Source organism: Homo sapiens, chromosome 7, assembly GCF_000001405.40.
Source record: "Homo sapiens chromosome 7, GRCh38.p14 Primary Assembly".
Taxonomy (NCBI): domain Eukaryota; kingdom Metazoa; phylum Chordata; class Mammalia; order Primates; family Hominidae; genus Homo; species Homo sapiens.
In genome coordinates this window covers 5557445-5574133 of record NC_000007.14, presented here as the reverse complement: position 1 = coordinate 5574133, position 16689 = coordinate 5557445, and the positions used below count along the sequence as shown (strand labels likewise).

The window sequence follows — 16689 nt, the reverse complement described above, 5'->3', positions numbered from 1 at the left end:
TCCCAGCTCCTCAGAAGGCTGGTGCACGAGAACCGCTTCAATCCGGGAGGCTGAGATTGCAGTGAGCCGAGATCACACCACTGCACTGCAGCCTGGGCGACAGAGTGAGACTCCAACTCAAAAAAAAGAAGCAGATACGGTCAGGCATGGTGGCTCCCGCCTGTAATCCCAGCACTTTGGGAGGCCGAGGTGGGCAGATCACCCGAGGTCAGGAGTTCGAGACCAACCTGGAAGACATGGCAAAACCCCATTGCTACTAAAAACACAAAATTAGGCCGGGCATGGGGGCTGACGCCTGTAATCACAGCACTTTGGAAGGCTGAGATGGGCAGATCACGAGGTCAGGAGATCGAGACCATCCTGGCTAACACAGTGAAACCCCATCTCTACTAAAAATACAAAAAATTAGCCGCGTATGGTGGCGGGCACTTGTAGTCCCAGCTACTCGGGAGGCTGAGGCAGGAGAATGGCATGAACCTGGGAGGCGGAGCTTGCAGTGAGCCGAGATCGTGCCACTGCACTCCAGCCTGGGCGACAGAGGGAGACTCCATCTCAAAAAGAAAAAAAAAAATACAAAAGTTAGCCAGGCATGGTGGCGGGCACCTGTAATCGCAGCTACTTGGGAGGCAGGAGAATCGCTTGAACCCAGGAGGTGGAGGTTGCAGCCGGCCAAGATCGCACCACTGCACTCAAGCCTGGGCGACAGAGTGAAACTCTGTCTCAAAAAAAAAAAAAAAAAGAAGCAGATGTATCACAATAATCGTAGCCAGGTTCTCAAAGGCAGAGAAGGGAGTTGTAAACTGGAGTGCACCCCAGGATCTATCAATGTAAACTCTTGGCTTTCAATATACATAAGAGGTATAGGAATTCATACAGATGCACCTAAATACATTTTCCTAGCCGGGCATGGTGGTGGATGCCTGTAATCCCAGCTACTCGGAAGGCTGAGGCAGGAGAATCGCTTGAATCCAGGAGGTAGAAGTTGCAGTAAGCCGAGATCTTGCCATTGCACTCCAGCCTGGGCAACAAAAGTGAAACTCCGTCTCAACAATAAATAAATGAAATAAAATAAAATAGTCCAGGTGCAGTGACTCATTTCTGTAATCCCAGCACCTTGAGAGGCTGAGGCAGGCAGATCACCTGAGGTCGGGAGTTTGAGACCATCCTGGCCAACATAGTGAAATCCCAGCTCTACTAAAAATACAAAACAATGCCTGGGTGCAGTTGCTCACGCCTGTAATCCCAGCACTTTGGGAGGCTGTGGCGGGTGGATCATGAGGTCAGGAGTTCGAGATCAGCCTGACCAACATGGTGAAACCCCATCTCTATTGAAAATACAAAAATTAGTCAGTTGTGGTGGTGGGCGCTTGTAATCCCAGCTACTCCAAAGGCTGTGGCGGGAGGATTGCTTGAACCCGGGCGGCAGAGGTTGCAGTGAGCGAGCCAAGATCGCACCACTGCATCATTCCTGCCTGGGCGACAGAGTGATTCAGTCTCAAAAAAAAAAAAAAAAGAGTCAACGTTATGAAAGCCAAACACAGACTGAGAAGTGTTCCATCCCGAAGGAAATTAAAGGTATGCAAGAACGAAATAACACATGGGCTGGATTTTTCTGCTGCAAGGACATTCTGGGGACATCTTCAGGAACTCAAATGGGTCTGAGGTTTAGATGGCAGTGATGTATCATATGTTGGCCGACACAGTGGCTCACACCTGTAATCCCAGCACTTTGGGAGGCTGAGGCCGACTGATCGCTTGAGGTTAGGAGTTCGAGACCAGCCTGGGCAACATGGCGAAACCCCGTCTCTACCAAAAATATGAAAAATTAGCTGGGCTTGGTTGTGAGCACCTGTGGTCGCAGCTACTCAGAAGGCTGAGGCAGGTGGATCGATTGCACCCGGGAGGCAGAGTTTGCAGTGAACGGAGATTGCACCACTGCACTCCAGGCTGGGTGACAGTGAGACTTCATCTCAAAAAACTAACAGGCTGGGCGCGGTGGCTCACGCCTGTAATCCCAACACTTTGGAAGGCCGAGGCGGGCGGATCACGAGGTCAGGAGATCGAGACCATCCTGGCTAGCAGGTGAAACCCCGTCTCCACTAAAAAAATACAAAAAATTAGCCGGGCGTGGTGGTGGGCACGTGTAGTCCCAGCTACTCAGGAGGCTGAGGCAGGAGAATGGCACATGAACCCGGGAGGCGGAGCTTGCAGTGAGCGGAGATCGTGTGACTGCATTCCAGCCTGGATGACAGAGTGAGATTCCGTCTCAAAAAAAAAAAAACAAAAAAAACCCCAAAAGTAATGTATTAACTTCCTGGCCATTTATATAGCAGAATAACCCTGTTTGAAGGAAATACAAGGGGTGATTGTGGCATCAGGCTAGTAACTTATTTTCAGTTTTTTTCTAGGAAAAAAATTAGTTTGTTTTTTATTTTGTTTTTATTTCAGAGATAGGGTGTGACTCTGTCACCCAGGTTGGAGTGCAGTAGATTGATCATAGCTCACCCACCTTGACCTCCTGGGCTCAAGCAATCCTCCCATCTCAGCCTCTCCAATAGCTGGGACTGCAGGCACAGGCCACCACACCTGGCTGAAAAAAATTTCGCACTGTATTTGTAGCTTTAAGTGTGTGATTGTTTCAAAATTTTTCAAAATTTTGAAAGAAATTGGCCGGGCACAGTGACTCACGCCTATAATCCTAGTATTTTGGGAGGCCAAGGTGGGCAGATCATCTGAGGTCAGGAGTTTGAGACCAGCCTGGCCAACATGGTGAAACCCCATCTCTACTAAAAATACAAAAATTAGCCGGGCGTGCTGGCGGGCACCTGTAATCCCAGCTACTCGAGAGGCTGAGGCAGGAGAATCCCTTGAACCCAAGAGGTGGAGGTTGCAGTGAACCGAGATAGCGCCACTGTACTCCAGCCTGGGCGACAGCGTGAGACTCCTTAAAAAAAAAAAAAAAAAAAAAAAAAAAGGCCGGGCACGGTGGCTCACGCCTGTAATCCCAGCACTTTGGGAGACCGAGGAGGCGGGCAGATCACAAGGTCAGGAGTTCGAGACCAGCCTGGCCAATATGGTGAAACCCCGTCTCTATTAAATATAAAAATTAGCCAGGTGTGGTGGTGGGCGCTTGTAGTCCCAGCTACTCGGGAGGCTGAGGCAGGAGAATCGCTTGAACCCAGGAGGCGGAGATTGCAGTGAGCCGAGATCGCGCCACTGCACTCCAGCCTGTGCGACAGAAGGGATTCCGTCTCAAAAAAAAAAAAAAAAAAAAATCCGTCAGCCTGCAGGCTTGATGTGTGCTCAGGGAGCCCTCCCTGGCTTAGCTCATAACTGTGTATCAGGGGTGGGGAGGAGTGGGATGTAGAGGATTACACCAGCCACAGCTTCTCCCTTTCCTTCCCATCCCTCAGTATTATTTCTGGGCTCCCCCCGACTGCTGTATGACTCGGGGTAGTTTACCCTCTCTGAGCTACAGTTTTCTTAACTGTAACAGTTCCGTTACCTAATAAGTCCACCATCCCCCTCCCCTGGGCAGGGAGAGAAAATAGGGAAGGTCTGGGAACAAGGGGGCGGGGGTCAGTCCCTGGGAGGGATTAGAGCCCCGGGGCTGGGGGCTGGGTAGACAGGCTCCGAATTTTCCCCTCTCAGGTGGGATCCGAGGCTATGGCAGCGCGACAGGCCCTAAGCCAGCGCCTTCCTCAAGTGCTCGAGTTCGGTGCTCACAGCCACCATGGTCGCAGTCACTACTACGACCCCCCCGTGGCGGCCGCGGCTCATCCGCGCCTCCAGGGGCTAGGAGCACGCGGAGTTGGGGCGGGCTGTGCTGGTCCGGCTCTTTGTGCCGACCAGGAGGCGTGGCCTCGCGGAAATGGACCAATCATAGGAGGTCTTTGCTCTGGGAAGCCAATGGTGGGGTGGCGGGCGGGGAGTAGGCGGTGCTGGCAAGAGATGGGCAGCTGGGCTCAAGCGGGCTGCGGTGGCTGAGGGTCGTGCGCGGCCTCAGTGGTGCGGTGGGACACCCGAGAGAGGCGTCCCGGGGGAGCAAGGCCTGGGGTCCTGCAGTGGAGGTCAGCCCCCAATTGTGGGCGCAGCTGGAGAGGGGGCGCCCTGGGGTTCACGAGGCCTTGAAGAGCGCACACCCTTGGCCACGCCCTGCCTGCCGACCCCTCCCGGTTGTTTCCCTCTCCGGTGAATCTGGATCACAGCCCTCACCGCCCCTCCACTGGTTTCCTGCTGGCAAAGGCAGAGGGGCGCTCAGCAGGAGCTCTGGGGTGGGGGATGGGGGATGGGGGATGCAGAGGTTTCTGGCCTAGATCCCGATGGCTTCCTGGAGAGTCTGCGAAATCCCTGGGTGCAGGCTCCCTTCCCTAAGGTCTCCTGCCACACCCACATCCCATGCTCCTGCCACCCTCCCTGTGTCTTCCGCTGCGCCCGACAGCGCCCGCCCCTCCAACCCCCGCCCCGAGCCACATCCTCTACCAAGCCCTCTCTGACTGCCTAGGGATTTCCTTGTAAATCTCTCTTTCCCCCCCACGCTGTGCACTGCCACACATTTCAGGACAGCTGAGATCTTCATTCTGGTGCCTAGGGGGCCACCCTCTTCCCACGCAGTCATCGCTCTAGGGATGGGCATGTGAACCTGAATTGCCCCATCAGCAGCGATCTCAGGGCTGTTGCTTGGAACTGCTGCCGCAGAACCCTGCTCTGTAGGAAACACCTGGAGTCACCAGGACCTCAAGCAGGCATGTGGCCACCTATGAATACAGACAAAGCTGACCCATGGGAAAGACACTGCTAAGGAAGTCACAGGGATATGCAGCTGGAGCCTTCATCATACATACCTGAAGTCCTGTCACCTCTACACAGTTACAGAAGCCCTTACGACAGTTCTAGCCAGGATGCACTGGTATTTTCCACTTCTTATCCTTTTTTTTTTTTTTTTTTTTTTGAGACAGGGTCTTCCTCTCTCACCCAGGCTAGGGTAGTGCAGTGGTGCAATTATGGCTCACTGCAGCCTCCACTGCCTGGGCTCAACCGATCCTCCCACCTCAGCCTCCTGTGCCACTGCTCTCAGGTAATTTTTTTTTTTTGAGAAGGAGTCTCGCTCTCTTGCCCAAGCTGGAGTGCAGTGGCGAGATCTGGGCTCACTGCAACCTCCACCTCCTGGGTTCAAGTGATTCTCCTGACTCAGCCTCCTGAGTAGCTGGGACTACAGGTGTGGGCCACCATGCCCAGCGAATTTTTGTATTTTTAGTAGAGACAGGGTTTCACCATGTTGGCCAGGATGGTCTCAATCTCCTGACCTTGTGATCCGCCTGCCTCGGCCTCCCAAAGTGCTGGGATTACAGGCGTGAGCCACCGCGCCCGGCCGCTCTCAGCTAATTTTTAACTTTTTGTTTGGGGTTTTTTTTTTTTAGAGTCTCATTCTGTCACCCAGGCTGGAGTTTAGTAGCTTGAGCGTGGCTCACTGCAACTTCCGCCTCCTGGGTTCAGGCGATTCTTGTGCCTCAGCCTCCCGAGTAGCTGGGATTTCAGGCACGCACCACCACGCCCGGCTAACTTTTTATATTTTTAGTAGAGACAGGGTTTCACCATGTTGGCCAGGTGGGTCTCGAACTTCTGACCTCAGGTGATCTGCCTGCCTCAGCCTCCCAAAGTGCTGGGATTACAGGTGTGAGCCACTACACCTGGCTTGCTAATTTTTAATTTTTTAATTTTTGGTGGAGACGAGGTCTCAGTATGTTGCCCAGCCTGGTCTCAAACTCCTGGGCTCAAGTGATCCTCCTGCCTTGACCTATCAAAGTCCTTGGATTACAGGCATGAGCCACAGCACCCATCGTATTTTCTATTTCTTGCAACACGAAGATCCTAACTGACAATATGTTCACTGCATCTTCAAATCAACCCTGGGAAGATTATGTCTTACTTTAGAGTTTAGGAAACCAAGGCTCTAAGGAGCTAATTTATTCAGGATACCTCAGAAAGGCAGTGGTAAATTGGGACCAGAGTCTGGGCTTTCCTGACTCTCTACTAGGTGCTGTATTTACTAGACCAAGGTGGTAACAACATACACAGCTGAATCTCAATTTTGCACCATGGCAGACATTACCAATCAACTACCGAATGATTTCCCCTGTAACCCACAAAAGGAGTCTGACTTCCTGTCCTCTTAGGAGATCAGATCTGTTTCCAAGCCATTAAGAGTTCATCCTGGCTCCCCTTCCCACAACCTCATTCCATCTGGACTGAATGCAATCCAGTAGAATCAAGGGAAAAGAGGATTCCCAAACTCCCAAATCCAAGGGCCTCTGCTCAGCTGCAAGCTGTATGGGGGCAGCCACAATCTCCCCTCCTCCCCAGAGTCTCCAACTGGAGACAAGACATAGAGACCCAGAGAGGGGCCAAGATTTCCTGGAATCACACAAAACCCGGGGGGCAGAGCTCAAAAGTGTGGCTGCTCCAATTCCTTCTTTAAAAAAAATTAGAGGGGTCAGGCATGGTGGCTCATGCCTGTAATCCCAGCACTTTGGGAGGCCGAGGTGGGCAGATTGCTTGAACTCAGGAGTTGAAGACTAGCCTGGGCAACATGTCAAAACCCCATCTCTACTAAAACTACAAAAACTAACTGGGCAAGGTGGCACGCGCCTGTAGTCCCAGCTACTGGGGAGGCTGAGGTAGGAGGATCACTTGAGGCCGGGCACAGTGGCTCATGCCTGTAATCCCAGCACTTCGGGAGGCCGAGGCGGGCGGATCACGAGGTTAGGAGATCGAGACCACAGTGAAACCCCGTCTCTACTGAAAATACAAAAAATTAGCTGGGCGTGGTGGTGGGTGCCTGTAGTCCCAGCTGCTCGGGAGGCTGAGGCAGGAGAACGGCGTGAACCCAGGAGGCGGAGCTTGCAGTGAGCTGAGATCACACCACTGCACTCCAGCCTAGGCGACAGAGCGAGACTCTATCTCAAAAAAAAAAAAAGAGGATCACTTGAACCTAGGAGGTTGAGGCTGCAGCGAGCTGTGATCATGCTACTGCATGCCAGCCTGGGTGACAGAATGAGACCCTGTCTCAAAAAATAAAACTATTAAAATAAGTTAGCTGCAGCCAGACACAGTGGCTCACATCCGTAATCCCAGCAATTTGGGAGGCCAAGGCCGGGGTGGGTATCACTTGAGGTCAGAAGTGTTTGAGACCAGCCTGGCCAACATGGTGAAACCTTGTCTTTAGTAAAAATACAAAAATTAGGCCAGGTGCAGTGGCTCAGGCCTGTAATCCCAGCACTTTGGGAGGCCGAGGAGGGTGGATCATTTGAGGTCAGGAGTTCAACACCAGTCTGGTCAACATGGTGAAACCCCATCTCTACTAAAAATACAAAGATTAGGCCGGGCGGAGTGGCTCATGCCTGTAATCTCAGCACTTTGGGAGGCCGAGGTGGGCGGATCACAAGGTCAGGAGTTCAAGTCCAGCCTGACCAACATGGTGAAACCCCGTCGCTACTAAAAAAATACAAAAATTGCCGGGCGTGGTGGCTCACGCCTGTAATCCCAGCACTTTGGGAGGCTGAGGTGGGCAGATCACAAGGTCAAGAAATTGAGACCATCCTGGCCAACATGTTGAAACCCCCTCTCTACTAAAAATACAAAAATTAGCTGGGCATGATGGTGCACACCTGTAATCCCAGCACTCGGGAAGGTGAGGCAGGAGAATCGGTTTAACCCAGGAGGCCAAGAGCGCGCCACTGCACTCCAGCCTGGCAACAGAGCAAGACTCCATCAAAAAAAAAAAAAAAAAAAAATTAGCCGGGCATAGTGGCGCACGCCTGTAATCCCAACTACTCAGGAGGCTGAGGCAGGAGAATCACTTGAACCCGGGAGGCAGAGGTTGCAGTGAGCCCAGATCATGCCACTGCACTCCACCCTGGGTGACAGAGCAAGACTCCGTCTCAAAAAAACAACAACAACAACAAAAACAAAGATTAGCCAGGTGGTAGTGGCACACGCCTATAATCCCAGCTGCTCAGGAGGCCGAGGCAGGAGACTCGCTTGAGCCTGAGAGGTTAAGGCTGTGGTGAGGCCAGATCATGTCATCATGTCACTGCACTCCAGCCCGGGCAACAAGAGTGAGACTCCGTCTCAAAAAAAAAAAAGGCCGGGCACAGTGGTTCACGCCTATAATCCCAGCACTTTAGGAGGCCGAGGTGGGTGGATCACGAGGTCAGGATTTTGAAACCAGTCTGACCAACATGGTGAAACGCCATCTCTACTAAAAAAAAAATACAAAAATTAGCCAGGCTTGGTGGTGCGCATCTGTAATCTCAGCTACTCGGGAGGCTGAGGCAGGATAATTGCTTGAACCCGGGAGGCGGAGGTTGCAGTGAGTGGAGATCTTGCCACTGCACTCCAGCCTAGGTGACAGAGTGAGACTCCATGTCAAAAAAAAAAAAAAAATTAGCCGGGCGTGCTGGTGTGTGCCTATAGTCCCAGCTACACAGGAGGCTGAGGTGGGAGGATGGCTTGAGCCTGGGAGGTGGAGGTTGCAGTGAGCCAAGATCATGCCACTGCACTCTAGCCTGGGCACAGAGCGAGACCTGTCATATATAAATAAATAAAGTAAATAAATAAATAAAAGAAAACAACATTCGAATATTGGACAGGAGGCCAAGGGGAGGGCTGCTTTGCATAAGGAGCCCGCCTAAGGATTATTTAATTCTTTCCAGGAAACTTTGATTTGACTTTACTATCTGCTTTTGATTAAGGGCTGAGGCTCAGTGAAGTTAACAGGTTAACTTGTGGATTTGTATCTGAGACAAAAGATAACACAAAAAGTTACTCTTGATTGCAGAAAGGACATTAGTCAGGTTGTTGGGTTTTGTGTTTCTGAATTGAATTTAGGAATCTTCCTTCCTTCATTCCCTTCCTTCCTTCCTCCCTCCTTTCCTTTCTTTTTTTCTTTCTACCTTCCTTCCTTCCTTTCTCTCTTTCTTTCTTTCTAAGATGGGGGTCTCACTATATTGCCCAGGCTGGAGTGCAGTAATGCAATCATAGCTCACTGCAGCCTCGAATTCCTGGGCTTAAGTGATCCCTCTGGCCTCAGCCTCTCCAGTGGCTGGGACTACAGTCATGTGCCTCCACGCTCAGCTAATTGTTTGTTTGTTTGTTTTTGAGACAGAGTTTCACTCTTGTTGTCAAGGCTACAGTGCAATGGCACGATCTCGGCTCACTGCAAGCTCCAGCTCCCGGGTTCACGCCATTCTCCTGCCTCAGCCTCCTGAGTAGCTGGGACTATAGGCGCCCGCCACCACGCCCGGCTAATTTTTTGTATTTTTAGTAGAGACGGGGTTTCACCGTGTTAGCCAGGATGGTCTCGATCTCCTGACCTCGTGATCCACCCGTCTCGGCCTCCCAAAGTGCTGGGATTACAGGCGTGAGCCACTGCACTCCGTCGACTGGACTCTTATTTTGCATTTTTGAACCCAGTACCTTTTCTCCACTTCAAAGGGCTTTCTTTTTTTTTTTTTTTTTTTTTTTTTTTTTGAGAAGGAGTCTCACTCTGTCGCCCAGGCTGCAGTGCAGTGGCGTGATCTTGGCTCACTGCAAGCTCTGCCTCCCGGGTTCAAGTGATTCTCCTGCCTCAGCCTCCTGAGTAGCTGGGGCTACAGGCACCCGCCACCATGCACGGATAACATTTTTTTTTTTTTTTTTTTTTTGAGACGGAGTCTTGCTCTGTCGCCCAGGCTGGAGTGCAGTGGCGCGATCTCGGCTCACTGCAAGCTCCGCCTCCTGGGTTCACTCCATTCTCCTGCCTCAGCCTCCTGAGTAGCTGGGACTACAGGCGCCCGCCACCACGCCCTGCTAATTTTTTGTATTTTTAGCAGAGACAGGGTTTCACCGTGTTAGCCAGGATGGTCTCGATCTCCTGACATCGTGATCCGCCCCCCTCGGCCTCCCAAAGTGCTGGGATTACAGACGTGAGCCACCGCGCCCGGCCCAAAGGACTTTTAAATGTGTCTGGCTGCCGGGCGCGGTGGCTTCACGCCTGTAATCTCAGCACTTTGGGAGGCCGAGGCAGGCGGATCACCTGAGGTCGGGAGTTCGAGACCAGCCTGGCCAACATGGAGAAACCCCGTCTCTACTAAAAATACAAAATTAGCTGGGCGTGGTGGCACATGCCTGTAATCCCAGCTACTCGAAAGGCTGAGTCAGGGGAATCACTTGCACCCGGGAGGCGGAGGCTGCAGTCAGCCGAGATCGCGCCATTGCACTCCAGCCTGGGCAACAAGAGTGAAACTCTGAAAAAAAAATGTGTCTGGCTGCCCAAAGGGCCCCATCACCGGACGAGTCCAGCCCCACCCAGCTTGGCGCGGCAGGCGCGTCGGTTGCGCCACCTGGCGGTCGCCTGGAACCCCACAACCCAACCAACCAGGTAGGGGAGATGGTGCGAGGGAGGGCGCGCGGGTTGCTGGGGTCTAGGATGGGGCTGTACCTGCTCCAGCTCTTAGGAAGGAACAGATCCAGGGCCGCCCCGCTGCATCGTTTGTTCCGGCTTCCCTAAGGAAGGCGATTTGGGGATGGGCCCTCAGGACGCTGTTACTTCGCCCTCGGTCCAGCACCCCACCTCTCCCAGGTGCAGGGGCCAGAGAGCGGTTCTTGCCCTGAATTAGGTGAATTAGGCGGACAGCGCGCAGCTTGCCAGTAACTCCAGCAAGCCTCATTCTTGGGACAGTTATGCCCATTGTATGCATGGGAAAACGGGCTGAGCTTTTAGATTGGGGCTGAGGCTGCTGCTCGGGTCCAGCGCTTGGACCTTCACTCCAGCCTGCCCCAGCCTGAGGTGGAGGGCTGCCCTCTCCCTCTCTCCCAACACACACATGCCCCATCAGCCACCAGGGAAGGGATCACTCTGGAGGGCCTGTTTTATCTCCGCGGACCCACTCCAGGCTGCTGGGTGAAAGATTCCCTTTATTTAGAGGAAGAGAGTTAGTCCCGGAGAGGGCCAGGACTGGGCTGAGTCACTCCGGGGGCCCGGACAGGGCCAACCCTGCCTGCTCCAAGCCAAGAGCCTTGAGCCCCGTTTTGAGGGCAGACTCAGCCCCCACCCCATCCCCACCCTAAAATCGGTTGCAGGGACGGAGGTTCCGAGAGGATGGGGCCGTCCCACCCTAAGTCTTCCAGCATCATCCCCGCCTCGTCGCCGCTGGTGCCTGTAGATGTCTGGGCGGAGGGGAGAACGCGAGAGTGGGCGAGCTCCGCGGTCCGCAGGAGCTGGGAGGAGGGGCTAGCGCGCGGGCAACGCCCCCTCCCCCAGCCCGTCTGGAGTAAGCCTCGCCCCCACCCCAACTCCCAGGAATTCTGCTGAGTCACTTCGGAGGCCACAGCTGCAACCTTGGGAACAATACGAGTCATTCAATTCACTAGGCAGCGTCCCAGCGCTCACCTGGGGGACTTGGCCACGGTCTCTTGTTAGAAGCCTCTTCATGGACAACGTGGCCAACCCCACCTCACCCCTATCGTCTCCCCCGGCCACACCCTGGGCCAATCGGGCTCCCACGTCAGGGTCTTTGCAGTAACTTGTGTTGCATGCCTGATACCTCCTTCCCGCCGGGGCACCTGTAGCCTGTACATCCTCCCACCCTCACTGCGAAGGCCCCTGCTCCCGCTGAGGCTGCGTCAGGGAAGAGCGAGCGAGCGTCTGCGAGCCTGATCCGCAGGCGGCTCGGATTGGCACTTAGATTGGCAACGGTGTCCAGGTACAAACTGCAGACCTGGAGCGCCCACAGGCTGGATGGTACTAGGGGACAGGTGTGCGCCCAGGTCTGTGTGGCCGTGCGCGAGACTGCTCGTGGGCAGCGTGGGAATAGGGGCACCGAGTGTGCCTTTCACAATTTCCCTGCTGAGCTGGATGTCGGCCACAGAACTATTGTGTGCCAGCTCCGAGCCCACCCATCACAGCGGGCGCGTGACTCCGGCATGGGGGCTGCACACTACATTTCCCAGAATTCATGGCTGCCAGCTTCCTGCTAGGCTGGACCAATAGGAAGTACCAGGGCTGTAAGCTTTCAGGGGCGTGGACGCGATTAGCATTTGATGACGCTTAGGGACCCCTTCTCAGAATCAAGGTTAAAAAAAATTGTAGTAAAAGATACATAACATAAAGTTTACCATTGTAACATTTTTTTTTTTTTTTTAGATGGAGTCTCCCTCTGTCGCCCAGGCTGGAGTGCAGTGGTGTGATCTCGGTTCACTGCAACCTCTGCCTCCCGGGTTCCAGTGATTCTCCTGCCTCAGCCTCCCGAGTAGCTGGGATTACAGGTGCAGGCCACCACACCCGGCTAGTTTTTCGTATTTTTAGTAGAGGAGGTTTTCGTTATGTTGGCCATTCTGGTCTCAAACTGCTGACCTCAAGTGATCCACCTGCCCCCTCTTTTCTTTCTTTAATGAGGATCATGTCAGTGTGGCAGAGGGGGCTCAGGTACAGGCTGATCCACCCACAAACTCTGTATTTTGGTGGCACATCTTGGGGGCTTGGTTTACACACATGAGTAAAACAACCAGAGTTTCTACTTAAACCTTTACATCAGCATACTCTTGGCATTTTGTTTATTTGTTTATTTTTTTGGAGATGGAGTCTTGCTCTGTTGCCCAGGCTGGAGTGCAGTGGTGCTGTCTCGGCTCCCTGCAGCCTCTGCCTCCCGTGTTCAAGCGATTCTCCTGCCTCAGCCTCCCAAGTAGCTGGGATTACAGGTGCCCACCACGCTCAGCTAATTTTTGTATTTTTAGTAGAGACAGGGTTTCACCATGTTGGCCAGGCTGGTCTTGAACTCCTAACCCCAGGCGATGCGCCCGCCTCGGCCTCCCAAAGTGCTGGGATTACAGGCATGAGCCACTAGTTCTGGCCTGTCTTTTTAAAAAAATTTTTTTTTCATGTTTTAAAAAAGTGACATTGTTGTATTACCATCCGCAGGTGGGACCTGCATGAGGTGGTTGGTGTGCTGGGCTCAGGGGATGTGTGGGCTGTGGAGATGATGACAGAAAGGTTGGAAGAAAAGGGGGTGGGTTTGAAGGCTAGGCCCAAGGGGTCCTCAGGTCCGCTTCTGGGAAGGGACAGCCTTGAGGAAGGAGTCATGGCAAGCCATAGCTAGGCCGCCAATCAGATTAAGAAATTCTGAGAAATCTAGCTGCCCGTCATTGTTGGTGCCCAGTTTCTTCATCATGCGGTGAAGGACCCCGGGGTCCTTCTGGTTCTTTGTGAAGGCAGCCAGTTCTGCATTCATGAAGCTTAGGAACTCCGTCTTGGAGAGAGTGCAGTTATAACCACCCTTTCCCACATACTTCTGGAAAAGAGAAATCAGGGACTCGATGCTCAGTCTCTGCAGGGCTGGAGATTTTTGCAGGGCTGGAGCTGAGCAAGGCGTGGGAGCCTTAATCAAAGTTTCCTGGCTGGGTGCAGTGCCTCACACCTGTAACCTCAGCACTTCGGGAGGCCGAGGTAAAAGGATTGCTTGAGCTGGGGAGTCTGAGACCAGTCTGGACAACATGACAAGACTCTGTCTCATGGCTGGGCGTGGTGGCTCACACCTGTAATCCCAGCACTTTGGGAGGCCGAGGCGGGTGGATTGCCTGAGCTTGAGAGTTCGAGACCAGCCTGGCCAACATGGCGAAACCCCATCTCTACTAAAAATCCAAAAAATTAGCCAGGCGTGGTGGCGGGCGCCTGTAGTCCCAGCTACTTGGGAGACTGAGGTAGGAGAATCGCTTAAACTCGGGAAGTGGTGGTTGCGGTGAGCCGATATCGTGCCACTGCACTCCAGCCTGGGTGACAGAGTGAGGCTCTGTCTCAAAAAAAAAACCAAAAAAAAAACCCCGTCTCTTATTTAGTTTAATTTTATTAATTTATGTGTTTTTGGGGGACACAGTCTCACTCTGTTTCCCAGGCTAGAGTGCAGTGGTACAATCATAGCTCACTGCAGCCTCAGCCTCCTGGCTTCAAGCAGTCCTGCATCAACCTCCCAAGCTACTGGTATTACAAGCGTGAGCCACCACACCCAGCCCACAGACTCCTGTTGATGGAGATTGCTTCCTTTGCCATGCTTCAGCTGTACAGTATAAGCTATTTCCTTCCAGGCTAACCTCGGAAATCTGAAATCTGCATTTAGGTAAGGGGTGGAGGTCACAGCAGAGGCGGAACCTGCAGGACAGGGCGTTACCATGACCGGGTCTTCCAGCCAGGGAAAGCTGGATTCCTCAGACGCAGGATGGGGTGCCGGCTCTCTGCTTCGTCTGTGTACCCCAGAGCCACCCCGATGTGGAGACTCAGGGTGCCTAGTTGCACAGGAATGACGATGCGGCAGGCTCAGGGGTGGCGGGGCAGGGTGTGCGATTGTGTGCCTGCATGCTGTCTGTGTCCCCTGGGCTGCTTGGGGATAGGCTTGGATCCCATGGAAACTCCCCAGCTTGGCGACTTGTCGGCCACGACCCTGGACAAGTGCTGCCGCCCCTCTAGACCTCAGTTTCCTCATCTGTGTTTTATTGTTGTTGTTGTTTGAGACAGAGTCTCGCTCTGTCGTCCAGGCTGGAGTGCAATGGTGCCATCTTGGCTCACTGCAACCTCCATCATCTCCTGGGTTCAAGCAGTTCTTCTGCCTCAGCTTCCTGAGTAGCTGGGGTTAGAGGCTCCTGCCACCACGCCGGGCTCCTTTTTGTAATTTTAATAGAGATGGAGTTTCACTGTGTTAGCCAGTCTGGTCTCGAACTCCTGACCTCAGGTGATCCACCCGCTTCAGCCTCCCAAAGTGCTGGGATTACAGGCATGAGCCACCGTGCCCAACCAGTTTCCTCATCTGTGTAAAGGGGAAAGCAATACCTCCCAGGGTCCCTGGACCATTTAGTGGATGGGTGATGGCAGAACCCTGGGGCAGCTGAGGATGCTTTCCATGGCCACTTGTCCATCAAAGCCTGGGGGGACGCGACCCGAGCCTGGGGGTGGTGAGGGATGATTGGGATGGGGATGCCCATGGTGGGCGGGGCATCCGGTGGGGACGTCACAGGTCCATCTCTCCAGGGATGACAGTAAAGAAGGTTCCCACTAGGTGGCACCCAAGAGCAGTCTCCGTCTAGTCTGTCCTGGCAGCAGTCCCAACTCTCCAGCTGTCATTGGCTTCTCTGCACCCTGGCCCTTCCCTGGGCCTTCCCCAGAAATGAGGCCCTTCCCTGGGCCTTCCCCAGAAATGAGGCCCTTCCCTCCACCCCTCATTCCTGCTTCTTTGGGCACCCATTCCCGGCAGCTGCTTCCTACCCCCTCCCGAGGGCTTGCAAGTCCCCCCAGCCATGTGTCTGTCAATCTCTCTTTTTCTCTCCCTGGGTCCCAGCTTCCCCTGACTGCCCTTCTCAGCTGGTCACCTTGGTCAAGCTGCTTGACCTTGCTGTATTTGGGAGTCTTTTCTTTTTTTGGAGACGGGGTCTCACTGTGTTGCCCAGGTTGGAAGTGCGGTGGCACAATCACCGCTCACTGTAGCCTTGACCTCCTGGACTCAAGTGATCCTCCTGTTGTAGCCTCCCTAGTAGCTGGGACTACAGATGTGCACCACCATGCTTGGCTAATTTTTAAATTTTTTTGTAGAGATGGGGTCTTGCTACATTACCAAGGCTGGTCTCAAACTCCCAGCTTCAAGCAATCCTCCTGCCTTGACCTCCCAAAGTGCTGAGATTACAGGCACACGCCACTGTGCCTTGCCTTGGGGTCTTAATTCCCCTATCAGGGTCATGGGGGACTTTTCTCAGAGAGCCTGGGTGCAGGGCTCAATACCCACAGGTGTTCAAAAATAACATCAGGAAAAGTAGCTGTTCTCCTTTTACTTTCTCTTTTCTCGTCCTTCCCCTAACCCCACCCTCTCCTGCCCTCCTCCCAGGCCGGCTCTGGCCGCCCACAGCCTTCTGGGGCTCTCTGGGCTAAGATCCCGCAACAGTGCTCCGGCCAGGGCTCTAGGCCTGACCGGCTGGCACCTGCCACCCCAGTGTCCTCACTGCCCAGACAGGCTGCCTGAAGATCCGGCCGCCTGGAATCGGAGGTCTGGTGACCTGCCTGCCTGTGTCCCGTTGGGTACACTGGCTCTGAGTCTCACCCGGAGTGACCCTGGCCCCGGGGACAAGACAGGACAGGATGGAACAGCACAGGCAGGGCCTGGGATTGGCTGGCCCCATTTGTCAGAAACACAAGCCTTCCCAACCAGGCCAGGTCGGGCCAGGCAGGAGCTGGGTGCAGAGAGCTGTGGGCAGAGAACCTTCCCATCCAGGACCCTCACCCCAGCAAGTCCTCCCCTTCCCCCGGGGAGAAAGGGCAGCCCCTCACCAGACGCCTTTGCTGAGCACCTACTCTATGCCCAAGCCTCGTACTTAGCACTTTGCCTGCATTATCGCATATCATTTTAATTACCCCCAAAGAGATTATTGCCCCATGAGTATAGAAGAAGAAACTGAGGGTCACAGTGGTTGACCACCATGTCCAACTCTGAGCCTTTGTCCTTTCGCTTTCTTCCCTTTTTTGGAAAGTGTGAAATCTTTTTTTTTTTTTTTTGAGACGGAGTTTTGCTCTTGTTGTCCAGGCTGGAGTGCAATGGCCTGTTCTCGGCTCACCACAACCTCTGCCTCCCAGGTTCAAGCGATTCTCCTGCCTCAGCCTCCGAGTAGGTGGGATTA

At 53.6% G+C, this 16689-nt stretch overlaps 1 pseudogene, besides 9 other annotated features; it reads right to left on the bottom strand.

Annotated features, from left to right (window-relative positions):
* Positions 3603-4591: an enhancer, noted in NCBI's record as "H3K27ac-H3K4me1 hESC enhancer chr7:5609174-5610162 (GRCh37/hg19 assembly coordinates)". NCBI's record gives its function as "activates a minimal SCP1, AML or CMV promoter by ChIP-STARR-seq in naive H9 embryonic stem cells {active_cell/tissue: H9 hESC(naive)}" and the evidence as "EXISTENCE:reporter gene assay evidence [ECO:0000049][PMID:30033119]".
* Positions 10698-11223: an enhancer, noted in NCBI's record as "H3K27ac-H3K4me1 hESC enhancer chr7:5602542-5603067 (GRCh37/hg19 assembly coordinates)". NCBI's record gives its function as "activates a minimal SCP1, AML or CMV promoter by ChIP-STARR-seq in primed H9 embryonic stem cells {active_cell/tissue: H9 hESC(primed)}" and the evidence as "EXISTENCE:reporter gene assay evidence [ECO:0000049][PMID:30033119]".
* Positions 11224-11748: an enhancer, noted in NCBI's record as "H3K27ac-H3K4me1 hESC enhancer chr7:5602017-5602541 (GRCh37/hg19 assembly coordinates)". NCBI's record gives its function as "activates a minimal SCP1, AML or CMV promoter by ChIP-STARR-seq in naive and primed H9 embryonic stem cells {active_cell/tissue: H9 hESC(naive and primed)}" and the evidence as "EXISTENCE:reporter gene assay evidence [ECO:0000049][PMID:30033119]".
* Positions 11749-12275: an enhancer, noted in NCBI's record as "H3K27ac-H3K4me1 hESC enhancer chr7:5601490-5602016 (GRCh37/hg19 assembly coordinates)". NCBI's record gives its function as "activates a minimal SCP1, AML or CMV promoter by ChIP-STARR-seq in primed H9 embryonic stem cells {active_cell/tissue: H9 hESC(primed)}" and the evidence as "EXISTENCE:reporter gene assay evidence [ECO:0000049][PMID:30033119]".
* Positions 11882-12176: an enhancer, noted in NCBI's record as "tiled region #4030; HepG2 Activating DNase unmatched - State 1:Tss, and K562 Activating DNase matched - State 1:Tss". NCBI's record gives its function as "activates a minimal TATA promoter and a strong SV40 promoter by Sharpr-MPRA in HepG2 and K562 cells {active_cell/tissue: HepG2 | K562}" and the evidence as "EXISTENCE:reporter gene assay evidence [ECO:0000049][PMID:27701403]".
* LOC100288712 (S100 calcium binding protein A11 pseudogene) lies at positions 12916-13417 on the bottom strand (annotated as a pseudogene).
* Positions 15516-16064: an enhancer, noted in NCBI's record as "H3K27ac-H3K4me1 hESC enhancer chr7:5597701-5598249 (GRCh37/hg19 assembly coordinates)". NCBI's record gives its function as "activates a minimal SCP1, AML or CMV promoter by ChIP-STARR-seq in naive H9 embryonic stem cells {active_cell/tissue: H9 hESC(naive)}" and the evidence as "EXISTENCE:reporter gene assay evidence [ECO:0000049][PMID:30033119]".
* Positions 15595-15664: an enhancer, noted in NCBI's record as "active region_25601". NCBI's record gives its function as "activates an Ori minimal core promoter by ATAC-STARR-seq in GM12878 lymphoblastoid cells {active_cell/tissue: GM12878}" and the evidence as "EXISTENCE:reporter gene assay evidence [ECO:0000049][PMID:35858748]".
* Positions 15745-15974: an enhancer, noted in NCBI's record as "active region_25600". NCBI's record gives its function as "activates an Ori minimal core promoter by ATAC-STARR-seq in GM12878 lymphoblastoid cells {active_cell/tissue: GM12878}" and the evidence as "EXISTENCE:reporter gene assay evidence [ECO:0000049][PMID:35858748]".
* Positions 16035-16354: an enhancer, noted in NCBI's record as "active region_25599". NCBI's record gives its function as "activates an Ori minimal core promoter by ATAC-STARR-seq in GM12878 lymphoblastoid cells {active_cell/tissue: GM12878}" and the evidence as "EXISTENCE:reporter gene assay evidence [ECO:0000049][PMID:35858748]".